The sequence below is a fragment of the Homo sapiens genome, chromosome X (genome assembly GCF_000001405.40).
Source record: "Homo sapiens chromosome X, GRCh38.p14 Primary Assembly".
Taxonomy (NCBI): Eukaryota; Metazoa; Chordata; class Mammalia; order Primates; family Hominidae; genus Homo; species Homo sapiens.
The window spans coordinates 12,471,908-12,488,099 of record NC_000023.11 but is presented as its reverse complement, the minus strand read 5'-3'; the positions used below and the strand labels follow the sequence as shown (position 1 = coordinate 12,488,099).

General features: G+C 39.2%; 1 protein-coding gene across 11 annotated transcripts in view; it reads right to left on the bottom strand.

Moving 5' to 3' along the window:
* FRMPD4 (FERM and PDZ domain containing 4) overlaps positions 1–16,192 on the bottom strand; it is a 902,085-nt gene that overhangs the window by 236,424 nt on the left and 649,469 nt on the right. The gene's annotated exons all lie outside the window — the stretch shown is intronic.

Below are 16,192 nucleotides of genomic sequence, written 5' to 3'. Positions count from 1 at the left end.
GAAGGTAAGATGGAAAGTTACAGCCCACTTAGGTACACCTAAATGCACTGGTGCTAAAATATGTTGTCTGGCTTCCTTCCCCAGAGTTAGAATGCATTTGCAATATTTTTAATGGGTTATATATAATGTAAACAAAACACATAAACCTAGTGTACTTTATTTTTATCTAATTCTAGGAAGATTTCTGGTGGCTTTTCTTTTAAAATTGTTTAATGAAGAGATTCACAGCTTTGTTCCTGCATTTATTTACCATGACCATTGTCTCTCCCCATCCCAACCCTGAATTCATCATGCATTTCCATGGTATCCCATAATTTTCTGAAGCTATTAATATAGAAGGAACAAATGTGTATTTGAAGTGTAGAAATTGAAATGATTCTTTTTAATACTCCCAGCTTAGATGTTAAAGGAAAATATATAATTTCACTAGATTTCTCAGTATCTATACATCTCCAAGGTCATCAAAAATGTGTAAGAATAGAAAGTGCACCAAGCCTCATAGGGCATACAAACATATACACTTGAAAATAGATATTTATCACTCAGGGCCTCCCTACTACTCTTTCTCTTTCTCCTTCTCGGCTCTTCTCTCTTCTCTTCTTCCTTTTCTTTTTTTGTCTTTAAACAACTGCAAACATTGCAGTTAGAAAAGATATAAATAAGGATAATGTGGGGACTTTCCAGTAGTGATGGAAACCAATTTGCAGATACTTCCCATCCAATATCACTCTGCACTTATTTATTTTTGTTTTGTTCATACAGAAACCCTTTTATTGAGCACAATTTTATGAGTAGAACTGTGACAGACACAGATGACAAGTCCCCGCCCTGAAAGGAATGAACAACCTAATACAAAGTAGAGAGAGAGGAAGAGGTAGTGTTGAGTATGAGCTGAAAATATGACCATCATGCCTCCTTGCTGCATATAGGGAAAACAGATTTATGGTTTATGTCTTTAGAAAATCTCTAAGAGCTGGTGCTTACCTCAAACTCTGGAGGTGAAAGAGAAGGCCCACATTCTTTTATAACTTTCATAGTTTCCCATTCTGGTCTCACATTTCCATAACAATTTCAATAACAATTATATTTATTATGACATTTATAATAAAAAATCTATAGCAAGGTAAGTGATGCTGTTAGTAACCATATTAGGGTTTCTTAGTTTTCATCCATCATTCCCAGCTTCCATTTGGAGTTCATTGATATTTTTTCAATCCATCTGCTCCAATGATAGGCATGTTATCACTGAACACAGAGAAAGATCCAGAAATTCCTTGCCCTAACCCACATAATAGGCTCAAGTGAGCCCTGCTACCTTTTCATGTCCAAACATAATCATTTTATGAATCAGGACAAAAACCATCATATATTTTCCTGAGATGTGTTATGAAGAGGAAATGAGTTGAAAACACTAAGAAGACAATAAGCTCTCAATATTTCTATATCATGGAATAATGATTTCCACAGTACGGAAGACATTTATTTACAAAGAGCACAGAGTTACAAATTGTGGGAAACAGCTATATTGTAACCATGTATGACTTGCTAAGTTTAGACAAGTTCTCAAAATCTTCTCCAGCTGACAATGATAATGTATCTGCAACTGTGAATGTTTCCAGGAAGGAGATTTTAGCAGCTAGCTGTTACCTTTATTAGAAAAGTGCAGAAAAGCCTTTCATAATGAAAAGTGCCCCTTATAGCAGGGCCTCTCCAACTTTAGTGTGCATAAGAATCACCTGAGCATCTTGTTAAAATGCAGGTTCTGTTTCCGTAGGCCTAGAGTGGGGCTCAGGATTCAGCATTTTTAATGGGCTCCCAGGTGGTGTTGAAGCTGCTGGCTCAGGGAGCACAGTCTGAGCATAGTCTCCCAAGGTCAGTGTCAGGTAAGGAGTGGATGCTGACTTCCATCCTGGCAAATCTCTGCCAGCCCCTTATACATTCCTGAAACAGGATGTTAACTATCCCTGTTGGAGATTTCAACCTGGGGCTCCCTGGCCTGGCAGGGATTTGCCAAGATGGAAGTTGGTACCCATTCATTACCTGATACTGATCTTGGGAGACCCAGGTCAAGGCAAGAGAGTTAATGAGCACTGGTTTGACAATAGATAGCAACACAAAACAAAATATGGCTCCTGAACAAAACTTGCACTTCACATTAATAGTCATCTCTGATTTTTTTTTTTTTAATTTTGAGAAAGAATCTCCCTCTGTTACCCAGGTTGGAGTGCAATGGCGCCATCTTGGTTCACTGCAACCTCCACCTCCTGGGTTCAAGCGATTCTCATGCCTCAGCCTCCTGAGTAGCTGGGATTACAGGTGCATGCCACCATGCCTGGCTAATTTTTGTATTTTTAGTAGAGATGTGGTTTTGCAGTGTTGGCCAGGCTGGTCTCAAACTCCTGGTCTTGATCTCAGATTTTTATACACGACCATGGTGACCGCCAGTGAAATGAAGCTCTAATTTATTTCCTTCTAACATTAACGGAGAGCCTCCCTTGTAGTCTAGGATTCCCTTCTCTGTGCAGACTCCTGGGTTAAGCATTTATTTAAGAAGGTCTATCAGCATCCACAACTCCGCATACAATACAAAAGATATAGCTTGTCCTTAATCTTTGGTTACGGCTTTGGTTCTTTAGCAAATCAGATTGAAACCTCTGGGAAACTTCCCTTGAAGCCCCTACCTTATTCTTCTCCAAAAAGATTCATTGAGCCTATATCATATCTTGGAACTCATCTAAACTCAGTAGGAATGCAAAATGATCACTTGGCCCCACTATTTGAAGAACATGTACAAAAGTTGATGACAGAAAACTATTATACACACAATAATTTGAGAACAACCAAGAATAAACTAGATTGCAAATAGATATTCCTACAGAAATATTACACATCCTGTTAGAATCATTTCTTGTACTACTTCCTTCACAAAGGCTTGACTCTCACATCCAATAATGGCATCTCCTCCCTCCACTCTCCACATCAGTGCCCAGCAAACTACATCCGGTGGCCTTGGCCCAGTGTCCACTTGTTTAAGTATCATCTATGGCTGCTTTCACACAAAAACAGCAGAATTGAGCAGTGTGACAGAGACTGTATGGCTTGCAAAGCCTAAAATATTTACCATCTGGACCTTTACAGAAGAAGTTTGCCAACCCCTGCTATCGAGTAGTAAGTACCTGCCTCACAGCACTTCAATTGCATCTTATATTACAGTCAACAATAGATACATACATAGGTAGGTAGAGAAATTAAATGACTGATTTATCTCCAGGGCCACCATTTGCACAACTCCATGTGGCTTCATTTACTGTGTTATAAGTTATACTAGTTATCTTACGAGGTTCTGAGCCTCCTTACTCATTTGAGTTAAGTCATGTGCCACCAGTTTAGGGATTTGTCTAAACTTGGAGCTCAATAAACAGGGTGGAATGAAACTGAACTCTAGAGGTTTTTCTAGGGCATAACTGAAGCCATTATATTGAGGACAGTGAAATTACCGAGAGCAAGAAGCAAACATCTGATTGTACCTGTAACTAAATGAGCAGAAACCAAATGGTGCTTTTGGCAGCAAAACAAAAGTGTCTCTGACAGCCATTTTGTTTGACAGGGATTTTGCAAGAGGCTCCATAATGAACTGCAGCCATAAAATAACTTGATATTAGCACAACCAATCCTTGGTGAATCTTTACTGCAGCAGAGATAAAGAGCACAGTCTCTGTGCTTTCCAATGCATACAACCCAATGGCACAGCCACTGGCATGCTGGTTTATGGGCTGTGTATTTCTCCTTCTGCTCCAGCAATCCCATTCATCTGGTATTTTACAGTCTTAGCTGGGCTCTAAAGACCCAGCAGGAAAAAGAGGCAGTAATTGCATTTTGTAAGCAATTAATTTTTTTCTTTCTTTAAAAATTTCCTCCTTTATATGTGTATCTTTTAAGGAATGGAATAAAAAGATATATCTTCTGTCATTGCCTCTAGAAGGGAGACTAAGTCAAATCCTTTCCTTTACAATGGACGATCATATTCATCCATTGTATATTCTAATGCTCAGCATTTCATTCACTTACTGTCATTATACCAGCCCTGCAAATTCCATTCTTTTGCAGTTGTGAGTCCCGTAAGCCCGTACACGTCCTACTAGTTGTTAATTTCATAGAAGAAATGTTAAATTTACTTAAAGTTAATACTTAGGGATATAGCATTGTCTTTCACTTGATTTTCCCCAGTAAAAAAAAATCTAAAATTTTTAATTTTTTCCATACCTAGATTCTATATAAGAAGTTTGTACATAAATTTAGAGGGTGTTTTAAAAACTTAGAAACAATTTGGATAAAAATGACTAATAAGTGTGATGCTTAAAATTAATTTACTTGACTTCAGCATGGGTTCACAAAATAATACAGTAAAACTTCTGCATTTTGTGAATGATCTTTCCTAATAACAGCCTAAAATTTATAAAATTCCCCTAATGCACACAAAAAGAACCATGGTTTCATGAAGGATTAGAATATAATATACTAATAAAAGGTCTCCATTCTATATCCAAATGCCATTCTAGCATAACAAGAAACTATAACAAGAACTCCTACTTTGTTTATAGAAGATGATGAGGTATGAATGATACATACAGGCTAAATTGGGATCCATAAAGTTTTGATGATTTTAATACTTAACTTTGTTGTCTCCCTTTCTCCATGTTGAATGGCAAAAACTGAGAACTCCAACCCAATATAACCTACAGCCCCTCTAGAGTAAATGACATTGGCTACCCATCCTTTAAAATGCTGACCTCCCTTATGAAGCTTCTGTGCTATAGCCCAATTCACAGTGGGATCTCTGAATTCCTGTAGTTTTTACCACCTTACACCTCCACTTCGTTGTCTGTAGACATCTTAAATTCAACACATCCAAAACTGAACTCATGTTCATTCCCCCAAACCTACTCCTCTGCCTAACTTCCTCATCTTTATAAATGGCCACCCTGTTCTTCAAGAGAGGCCACAATGAATTCCATGCATTTTCTGCAAGATACTGCCTTCTTTAACCTTAGAGTGTTTCAGCTTGCTGGTCTCTCAGGCCTAGATTTCTCCAACTCTTTCTTCTCCATTCATTCTGCCAACTAACAACTTATTATTCTGGTTTAATTGTTCATCCTCCAAGAAACTTTCTGTCAATTTGCTCTGCTCAATATGGTAGCCACTCATCACAGGTAGTTACTGAACACTGGAAATGTGGCAAGTATGAATTGAGATGTGCTGTAAATCTGAAATACACAGCAGATTTCCAAGGCTTAGTAGGAAGAAAAAAATATAAAAAGTCTCAATATTTTTGATAAATTGATTACATATTGAAATAATATTTTAGACACGTTGGGTTAAGCAAAACATATTAAAAGAAAAATTTAGCAGTTTGTTTTTGTTTTTAAAATATGGCTACCAGAAAATTTAAAATAACATACATGGTTCATGTTATAATTTTATTGGACTGTGCTCTTCTATACCCTTGGGGCAAAGTCAGGTGCTCTTCCCACAGATTTCTTTACAACCCCCATTCCTTTTGCTAATTTGCCTGGTGACTTGTCTATCAGTTCTAGGCTCTGTTAGCTGACTTAACTAGGGATCACATCCATATCTGAGGCACAGTAGGCACTCACATATATTTGTTAAATGAACACAAGAACTACATTAAGAATCAGGAAGTCAGCTCATCTCCCTAAGCCACAGTTAATGTGGAGGTTAAACTGGGCTGTCTCTACCAGCCCTTCTAGTTTCATTGACTGTAAATATCTAACTTGGACATTTAAATGAGTCTCTTCTTCCGCATCAGGTTTACAGTTCTTTCAGGGTGAAACAAATGTTTTATATTTTCCTTGTTAGTTTCCTCAGGGCTCTGTGAATACAGCTGGCTCTTAGCAACATAGGGTTAAACTGCACATGTCCACTTATACACAGATTTTGTTCTGCCTCTGCCACCCCTGAGACAGCAAGACCAACCCCTCTTCTTCCTCTTCCTGCTTAACCTATTCAACGTGAAGACGATAAGGATGAAGAATTTTATGATGATTCACTTCTACTTAATGAATAGCAAATAAATTTTCTCTTCCTTACGATTATCCAATAACACTTTCTTTTTTTTTTTTTTTTTTTTTTTTTTTTTGAGATGTAGTCTTGCTCTGTCACCCAGGCTGGAGTGCAGTGGCGCAATCTCGGCTCACTGCCAGCTCCGCCTCCCGGGTTCACGCCAATTCTGCTGTCTCAGTCTCCCCAGCAGCTGGGACTACAGGTGTACGCCACCACACCCGGTCAATTTTTTTGTATTTTTAGTAGAGACGGGGTTTCACCATGTTAGCCAGGATGGTCTCGAGCTCCTGACCTAGTGATCCACCCGCCTCAGCCTCCCAAAGTGCTGGGATTACAGGCATTAGCCACCGCGCCGGGCCCCAATAACACTTTCTTTTCTCTAGCTTACCTTATTCTAAGAATAATCTGGTATATAATACATGAAACAGACAAAATATGTGTTAACCCACTGTTTACAGTTATCAGTAAGGCTTCTGGTCAACAGTAGGCCGTTCATAGTTGAGTTTTGGTGAGTCATGAAAGTCAGCACCCCTAACCCCTGAGTTGTTCAAGGGTCAATTGTACTTAAAAGTCATCATCTAGTCAACAAATGGTAAGCTAAAAGTATTTGCTTACATGTTTTACAGGGTGGGTCTGATGTGGGAGAATAAGTATTTGACTTAGTTGGACACTTCGTAAAATAGGTACAAATGTGGAAACTCTTTACTAGGAGGGGAAAAGCTAAAGGCAGGCGTGGGGGCCTAGGTGGGAGAGTGGGGAAGTAGAGGGAGTGGTGGCTATGAATCCTGACAATAGAAAAGCTGGCCACAGCAGGGCTGGCAAGCTCCCTAAAGCAGTTGGGTAAATGCCTCACATGCGACATCACTGGGAAGCTTCCAATGAACCAGTATCCAGGAATGACTGTTCCAGAAACACATCCTCCCTTTCTTCCTCCAGGCAACAAGGAGGAAGCAAGAAGGGCTGGCCCAAAGGTATTGGGTATTACTACCTGAGTTGACTCTCTACCTCCTTAACAGTGTGTCAAGACCCCAAGTCACCTGTTCTGTGGATCTCAAGATGCTTCTGGTAGAAAAAAGACAATCCTAATTTATATTCACAACAAACAAGTGCAAAACTGATCAACCGCTAAGTTTATTTAGGGAAAATATCCATACCAAAGTTCATGTTTGTTCTTAGGCTACTTTTTGTTTTAACTCAAAAATAATCTTAGACAGTATGAAATTATTTCTACCTATCTCTGAGCAAATAGAAACGCGATCGTCCAATCCATCAACATTTGCAGGCAAACGGTCTATGTTAGCTCCACTGCTGTGATAAATGTTTCCCATGTGGACTCTTGAAATAACTAAGACCATTTGCCTTATCCACAGAAATGCATGCCATTCATCAGCTGTGATGCACAAGACAACCTGGTCCAGGCCAATCTCATTTTAGTGAAAAGAGGGAGTACTCTGAAAGTGGCTTTGTCTAGAGCACAGGTGAATGCATTGAAAAGGAAGGGCATTGTGTACAAGAAACATAAACATTTTTAATAGGCTCAGAAATTCATAATTACTATTTATATTCCACATGCATTTCTCCCAGTGATATCCAATATTTTAGGATAGAAAAATCTCTCCTAGGAGAGAAAAGAGGCAAAAATGCAAAGACCTATTGGAAATTTTGCTTTTTTTTTTTTTTTTTTTCATTTCTTTTCATTTCTGTAGTGTCTGCCTGAAGCTTCTATTCTGGAACTTCTCTGATCACCCCTGGAGAATTCAGCATTTTAACTCTCAAAGGTTTTGTTGTGTTTTTCTTCTTAACCACCACCAGCCTTCCTCTGATTCTGGGATTTTGGCCATGTGTCCTTGGATCCAATCTCTGTTTATATAATTGTTCTCATTTTCTTCTTGCAATTACTTTTCCTTCTTTTCCTATTTTTTAAAATCTCACCTTTCATTCCATTTCTTTTTCATCTCTCACCCTCGGAAAATTTCTCTTTCTGGCAGGCTCTTCTTGTTCTCTTTGGCAGTATTTCACAGAGGCACAGATAGTCATAATGATCAAAATGTACACTTGCAGAGGGAGCCTTAATCTCCCAAGGAGATTAGGCTACTCTGCAGACATTATCTCATCAATCTCCCCTAGCCTCTGCAAAGGAGGGACCCATTTCCTAGTAGAGACACCACCCCAGAGGGTAAAGTTAGCTGCATCCTGAGACTTAAAAAGAACTAGGAACAGGCCTGGTGTAGTGGCTCATGCCTATAATCCCAATACTTTGGGAGGCCAAGGTGGGAGGATCACTTGAGCCCAGGAGTTTGAGACGAGCCTGGGCAACACAGTGGGACCTTATCTCTACAAAAAATAAAAAAAAAATTAGCCAGGCATGGCGCAACTGTAGTGCTAGCTACTTTGGAGGCCAAGGTGGGAAGATCGCTTGAGCTTAGGAGGTCAAGGCTGCAGTGAGCCATGATTGTGCCACTGCACTCCAGCCTGAGTAACATAGTGAGACCCTGTCTCAAAATATATATATATATATAATATATACGTATATATATGTATATACATATATATACATATATACATATATATACATATATGTGTGTATATATATACGTATATATGTATATATATGTGTATATATGTATATATATATGTGTATATATGTATATGTGTGTGTGTGTATATATATATACAGACTGTTGCTCATTTACATCACAATAGGTCCAGGCTGTTATATTTTACTTCTCCTATTCCTTTCTTCTGGACCTCATCCTTAATTTTTACCAAACACAAAAGGATGGCTCTTATCCCTTGAGAGTAATTCCTTCATATAAATATACTTTTAAATCTGCCACTGTCCCATGTTGAAGAGGCATAAAGGGGAAAAATCATAAATTTGGTTTATGCTTTATTTTCAAGTTTACTCTCTGTTTCATATGCTTTATTGGTTCCTTGGAGAATTCTGCAACTGTTTCCCTTTTTCCAATCCTGTGTTATTAACAGTCTTACTTAGATTTCATTTATGGCATGTGGTAATGTTATGACTCTCTTCCCCCACTCCATTGTAATAGATGAGGCAATTGATTCTCAAAACTTTCAATATGTGGCCAAGCTAGTTGAGTGTCCAAATTAGCCTTATAAGCTAAGTCTTATGACTTTTCAGTCTACACCTTTTAAAGAGAATTTTATAAAAATTATCACATTTAATTATCTAAACAAGCAGACAAGGTCATTATTCCTATCCCCATTTCAAAGATGAGAAAACTTCTAGACCACTTGCTCAAAGTCATCCAGCTATTAAGCCAATGTAGCCAGCATTTCAACTTAGGTTTGTCTAATTCAAATCTTGTGTCTGCACTTTTTTAAAAAACTGCTTCTCTCTTGACACATTAAAGACAAAAAGGATTTTCCCCTACCCCCACTATACATACTTTACTCGGGTTTCTTTTATCTTGAGATGGGGTCTCGCTCTGTCACTAAGGCTGGAGAGCAGTGGTGTGATCATGGCTCACTGCAGCCTCGACCTCCAGGACACAAGTGATCCTCCCAATGCAACCTCCTGAGTAGTGGGGCCACAGGCATAGCACGCACCACCATGCGCCTAGCTAATTTATTTTTATTTTTTACAGAGAGGACGGTCTTGCTATGTTTTCCAGGCTGGTCTTGGACTCCTGGCCTCATGCGATCTGCCTGCCTCGGCCTCCCAAGGGGTGGGATTACAGGAGTGAGCCACCACGCCCGGCCTACTCTGGTTTCTTAGGGCCTGTCCTTCCCTGTCAGTTCCTGTCCTTGGAATGCTCTCTACATGGAAACCAACATCCTGGCCTACTCCAGAGACCTCCTTCTTCCTGGGAGCAGAAGGTGCCAATTGAGGCACATGCCATATACATCACTTTGTTTTAAAATTAAAATACATGTCCCCAAGGGGCATGATGGTGTTGCCAGCATGTTTCCACTGGGCCAGGTGTTGCAAGGGCACAGTGGAAGCTGAGAGCCTGGAGACACTTTCCCATGCCACCTGTCCCTATCTTGCCACAGGCGGTTGAGTGCTCCAATTTTTCATGGGGTTCCCTAGGGCAAGAACCCTAAAACTATTTTAGAATTCTGGGAATCCAAATGTGTAGTTCTTAACATTTCTACTTGGAGATAGGAAAAAGAAAACAAAACTGTAAGTTCCTCCAGATCATTTTTGGCCCTTTTAATCTATAAACAAATGTAGTAACAAAAATATTTTGTAGATAGCTCATCAAAACAGTCATAATGTTGAATAGGTATGTACACACATTACAAAATTATACTTGCATGTAATGAGCATGTAACAAATATTTGTCAAGAAATGATTGCAATGCAAACTCATTTGTTGCTAAATATGAATTATTCTTAAAAATCTCACTGTCTAACACATTGTTCCTAATCTCAAGGCACTTTCAATATTCATAACTTGCCTTTGTATTCAATGAGACAGCTGGAAACAACCCAGCTGAAAAGACCGATGTCTGCCCAGCAGTTCTCAGATGCCCAGCATAGAGAGGCTTTCACATAGTTGATGACTAAAGCTGTACTTTCTTTTTTTATTACTATTATTATACTTTAAGTTTTAGGGTACATGTGCACAACGTGCAGGTTTGTTACATATGTATACGTGTGCCATGTTGGTGTGCTGCACCCGTTAACTCGTCATTTAACATTAGGTATATCTCCTAATGCTATTCCTCCCCCTTCCCCCACCCCACAACAGGCCCCGGTGTGTGATGTTCTCCTTCCTGTGTCCACGTGTTCTCATTATACAATCCCCACCTACGAGTGAGAACATGTGGTGTTTGGTTTTTTGTCCTTGCCATAGTTTGCTGAGAATGATGGTTTCCAGCTTCATCCATGTCCCTACAAAGGACATGAACTCATCATTTTTTATGGCTGCATAGTATTCCATGGTGTATATGTGTCACATTTTCTTAACCTAGTCTATCGTTGTTGGACATTTGGGTTGGTTCCAAGTCTTTGCTATTGTGAATAGTGCCACAATAAACATACGTGTGCATGTGTCTTTATAGCAGCATGATTTATAATCCTTTGGGTATATACCCAGGCTGGGTCAAATGGTATTTCTAGTTCTAGATCCCTGAGGAATCGCCACACTGTCTTCCACAATGGTTGAACTAGTTTACAGTCCCACCAACAGTGTAAAAGTGTTCCTATTTCTCCATATCCTCTCCAGCACCTGTTGTTTCCTGACTTTTTAATGATCACCATTCTAACTGGTGTGAGATCGTATCTCATTGTGGTTTTGATTTGCATTTCTCTGATGGCCAGTGATGATGAGCATTTTTTCACGTGTCTGTTGGCTGCATAAATGTCTTCTTTTGAGAAGTGTCTGTTCATATCTATCGTCCACTTCTTGATGGGGTTGTTTGTTTTTTTCTTGTAAATTTGTTTGAGTTCATTGTAGATTCTGGATATTAGCCTTTTGTCAGATGAGTAGATTGCAAAAATGTTCTCCCATACTGTAGGTTGCCTGTTCACTCTGATGGTAGTTTCTTTTGCTGTGCAGAAGCTCTTTAGTTTAATTAGATCCCATTTGTCAATTTTGGCTTTTGTTGCCATTGCTTTTGGTGTTTTAGACATGAAGTCCTTGCCCATGCCTATGTCCCAAATGGTATTGCCTAGGTTTTCTTCTAGGGTTTTTATGGTTTTAGGTCTAACATTTCAGTCTTTAATCCATCTTGAATTAATTTTTGTATAAGGTGTAAGGAAGGGATCCAGTCTCAGCTTTCTACATATGGCCAGCCAGTTTTCCCAGCACCATTTATTAAATAGGCAGTCCTTTCCCCATTGCTTGTTTTTGTCAGGTTTGTCAAAGATCAGATAGTTGTAGATATGTGGCATTATTTCTGAGGGCTCTGTTCTGTTCCATTGATCTATATCTCTGTTTTGGTACCAGTACCATGCTGTTTTGGTTACTGTAGCCTTGTAGTATAGTCTGAAGTCAGGTAGTGTGATGCCTCCAGCTTTGTTCTTTTGGCTTAGGATTGACTTGGCAATGCGGGCTCTTTTTTGGTTCCATACGAACTTTAAAGTAGCTTTTTCCAATTCTGTGAAGAAAGTCATTGGTAGCTTGATGGGGATGGCATTGAATCTATAAATTACCTTGGGCATTATGGCCATTTTCACAATATTGATTCTTCCTACCCATGAGCATGGAATGTTCTTCCATTTGTTTGTATCCTCTGTTATTTCATTGAGCAGTGGTTTGTAGTTCTCTTTGAAGAGGACCTTCACATCCCTTGTAAGTTGGATTCCTAGGTATTTTGTTCTCTTTGAAGCAATTGTGAATGGGAGTTCACTCATGATTTGGCTCTCTGTTTGTCTGTTATTGGTGTATAAGAATGCTTGTGATTTTTGCACAATGATTTTGTATCGTGAGACTTTGCTGAAGTTGCTTATCAGCTTAAGGAGATTTTGGACTGAGATGATGGGGTTTTCTAAATATACAATCATGTCATCTGCAAACAGGGACAATTTGACTTCCTCTTTTCCTAATTGCATACCCTTTATTTCCTTCTCCTGCCTGATTGCCCTGGCCAGAACTTCCAACACTATGTTGAATAGGAGTGGTGAGAGAGGGCATCCCTGTCTTGTGCCAGTTTTCAAAGGGAATGCTTTCAGTTTTTGCCCATTCAGTATGATATTGGCTGTGGGTTTGTCATAGATAGCTCTTATTATTTTGAGATACGTCCCATCAATAGCTAATTTATTGAGAGTTTTTAGCACGAAGGGCTGTCGAATTTTGTCGAAGGCCTTTTCTGCATCTATTGAGATAATCATGTGGTTTTTGTCTTTGGTTCTGTTTATATGCTGGACTACGTTTGTTGATTTGGGTATGTTGAACCAGCCTTGCATCCCAGGTATGAAGCCCACTTGATCATGATGGATAAGCTTTTTGATGTGCTGCTGGAGTCAGTTTGCCAGTATTTTATTGAGGATTTTTGCATCAATGTTCATCAGGGATATTGGTCTAAAATTCTCTTTTTTTGTTGTGTCTCTGCTAGGCTTTGGTATCAGGATGATGCTGGCCTCATAAAATGAGTTAGGGAGGATTCCCTCTTTTTCTATTGATTGGAATAGTTTCAGAAGGAATGGTACCAGCTCCTCCTTGTACCTCTGGTAGAATTTGGCTGTGAATCCATCTGGGTCCTGGACTTTTTTTGGTTGGTAAGCTATTAATTATTGCCTCAATTTCAGAGCCTGTTGTTGGTCTATTGAGAGATTCAACTTCTTCCTGGTTTAGTCTTGGGAGGGTGTATGTGTCGAGGAATTTATCCATTTTTTCCTGATTTTCTAGTTTATTTGCATAGAGGTGTTTATAGTATTCTCTGATGGTAGTTTGTATTTCTCTGGGATCGGTGATGATATCCCCTTTATCATTATTTATTGCGTCTATTTGATTCTTCTCTCTTTTCTTCTTTATTAGTCTTACTAGTGGTCTATCAGTTTTGTTGATCGTTTCAAAAAACCAGCTCCTGGATTCATTGATTTTTTGAAGGGTTTTTTGTGTCTCTATTTCCTTCAGTTCTGCTCTGATCTTAGTTATTTCTTGCCTTCTGCTAGCTTTTGAATGTGTTTGCTCTTGCTTCTCTGGTTCTTTTAATTGTGATATTAGGGTCTTGATTTTAGATCTTTCCTGCTTTCTCTTGTGGGCATTTAGTGCTGTAAATTTCCCTCTACACACTGCTTTAAATGTGTCCCAGAGATTCTGGTAGGTTGTGTCTTTGTTCTCGTTGGTTTCAAAGAACATCTTTATTTCTGCCTTCATTTTGTTATGTACCCAGTAGTCATTCAGGAGCAGGTTGTTCAGTTTCCATGTAGTTGGTTTTGAGTGAGTTTCTTAATCCTGAGTTCTAGTTTGATTGCACTGTGGTCTCACAGACCATTTGTTATCATTTCTGTTCTTTTACATTTGCTGAGGAGTGCTTTACTTCCAACTATGTGGTCAATTTGGAATAGGTGTGGTGTGGTGCTGAAAAGAATGTATATTCTGTTGATTTGGGTTGGAGAGTTCTGTAGATGTCTATTAGGTCCGCTTGGTGCAGAGCTGAGTTCAATTCCTGGATTTCCTTGTTAACTTTCTGTCTTGTCGATCTGTGTAATGTTGACAGTGGGGTGTTAAAGTCTCCCATTATTATTGTGTGGGAGTCTAAGTCTCTTTGTAGGTCTCTAAGGACTTGCTTTATGAATCTGGGTGCTCCTATATTGGGTGCATATATATTTAGGATAGTTAGCTCTTCTTGTTGAATTGATTCCTTTACCATTATGTAATGGCCTTCTTTGTCTCTTTTGATCTTTGTTGGTTTAAAGTCTGTTTTATCAGAGACTAGGATTGCAACCCCTGCCTTTTTTTGTTTTCCATTTGCTTGGTAGATCTTCCTCCATCCCTTTATTTTGAGCCTATGTGTGTCTCCGCACATGAGGTGGGTTTCCTGAATAGAGCACACTGATGGGTCTTGACTGTTTATCCAATTTGCCAGTCTGTGTCTTTTAATTGGAGCATTTAGCCCATTTACATTTAAGGTTAATATTGTTATGTGTGAATTTGATCATGTCATTATGATGTTAGCTGGTTATTTTGCTTGTTAGTTGATGCAGTTCCTTCCTAGCCTTGATGGTCTTTACAATTTGGCATGTTTTTGCAGTGGCTGGTACCAGTTGTTCCTTTCCATGTTTAGTGCTTCCTTCAGGAGCTCTTGTAGGGCAGGGCAGGGCTGGTGGTGACAAAATCAGCATTTGCTTGTCTGTAAAGGATTTTATTTCTCCTTCACTTATGAAGGTTAGCTTGGCTGGTTATGAAATTCTGGGTTGAAAATTCTTTTCTTTAAGAATGTTGAATATTGGCCCCCACTCTCTTCTGGCTTGTAGAGTTTCTGCCGAGAGATCAGCTGTTAGTCTGATGGGCTTCCCTTTGTGGGTAACCTGACCTTTCTCTCTGGCTGCCCTTAACATTTTTTCCTTCATTTCAACTTTGGTGAATCTGACAATTATGTGTCTTGGAGTTGCTCTTCTCGAGGAGTATCTTTGTGGCGTTCTCTGTATTTCCTGAATCCGAATGTTGGCCTGCCTTGTTAGATTGGGGAAGTTCTCCTGGATAATATCCTGCAGAGTGTTTTCCAACTTGGTTCCATTCTCCCCGTCACTTTCAGGTACACCAATCAGACGTAGATTTGGTCTTTTCACATAGTCCCATATTTCTTGGAGGCTTTGTTCATTTCTTTTTATTCTTTTTTCTCTAAACTTCTCTTCTCGCTTCATTTCATTCATTCGATCTTCTATCACTGATACCCTTTCTTCCAGTTGATCGAATCAGCTACTGAGGCTTGTGCATTCGTCACGTAGTCCTTGTGCCATGGTTTTCCGCTCCATCAGGTCCTTTAAGGACTTCTCTACATTGGTTATTCTAGTTAGCCATTTGTCTAATCTTTTTTCAAGGTTTTTAACTTCTTTGCCATGGGTTAGCTGTACTTTCTTAAATTCTGTGAGAGAAAACCCCAGGATGAGCCTATGCGTATCTCTGCTCCATGACCAGAGTTCTTGAGCTCCATGCTGACCCCACAACAAGATATTTTTACTTGGAACAAGTCGTTGTTTAAGAGCACTTCCAAGTTTTAATCATTACGTTTGGGGAGAACAAGATGATTGCCTTAAGAATTTTGAATTGCACATATTTAGCTTTTATACTGGGTTCTCTTGCATAGTTTTAAGTGCAGCTGAAACTGGACTTGTCACAAACCTAGCTTCTCACCATTAGTGATGGCAAGTAGATTTGACCAGATACCACTGACCCCCAGGATTCATCATGGCAAACACAGGGTTTGTGGGCAACTTATCTTTGCAGCTTACCAATGGCCAGTAGTAGCAATATTTTTTGATGTTGATCTATACAATATAGGGGTCTTAATTTTTCATTACCTAATTTCTTGTCTCTGTTTTGTGCCCAAATTGTGGGCACAAATTGTGCCCAGCACAGTTTTAAGTGACAGTGCAATTCTGTGGCTAATTTGTGCACTAGGGTTCAGCAGTAGATTGAGTTATTGTTCTCAATTTTTAACTCCCCGGGAGTTGCATTATATATCCACATTTT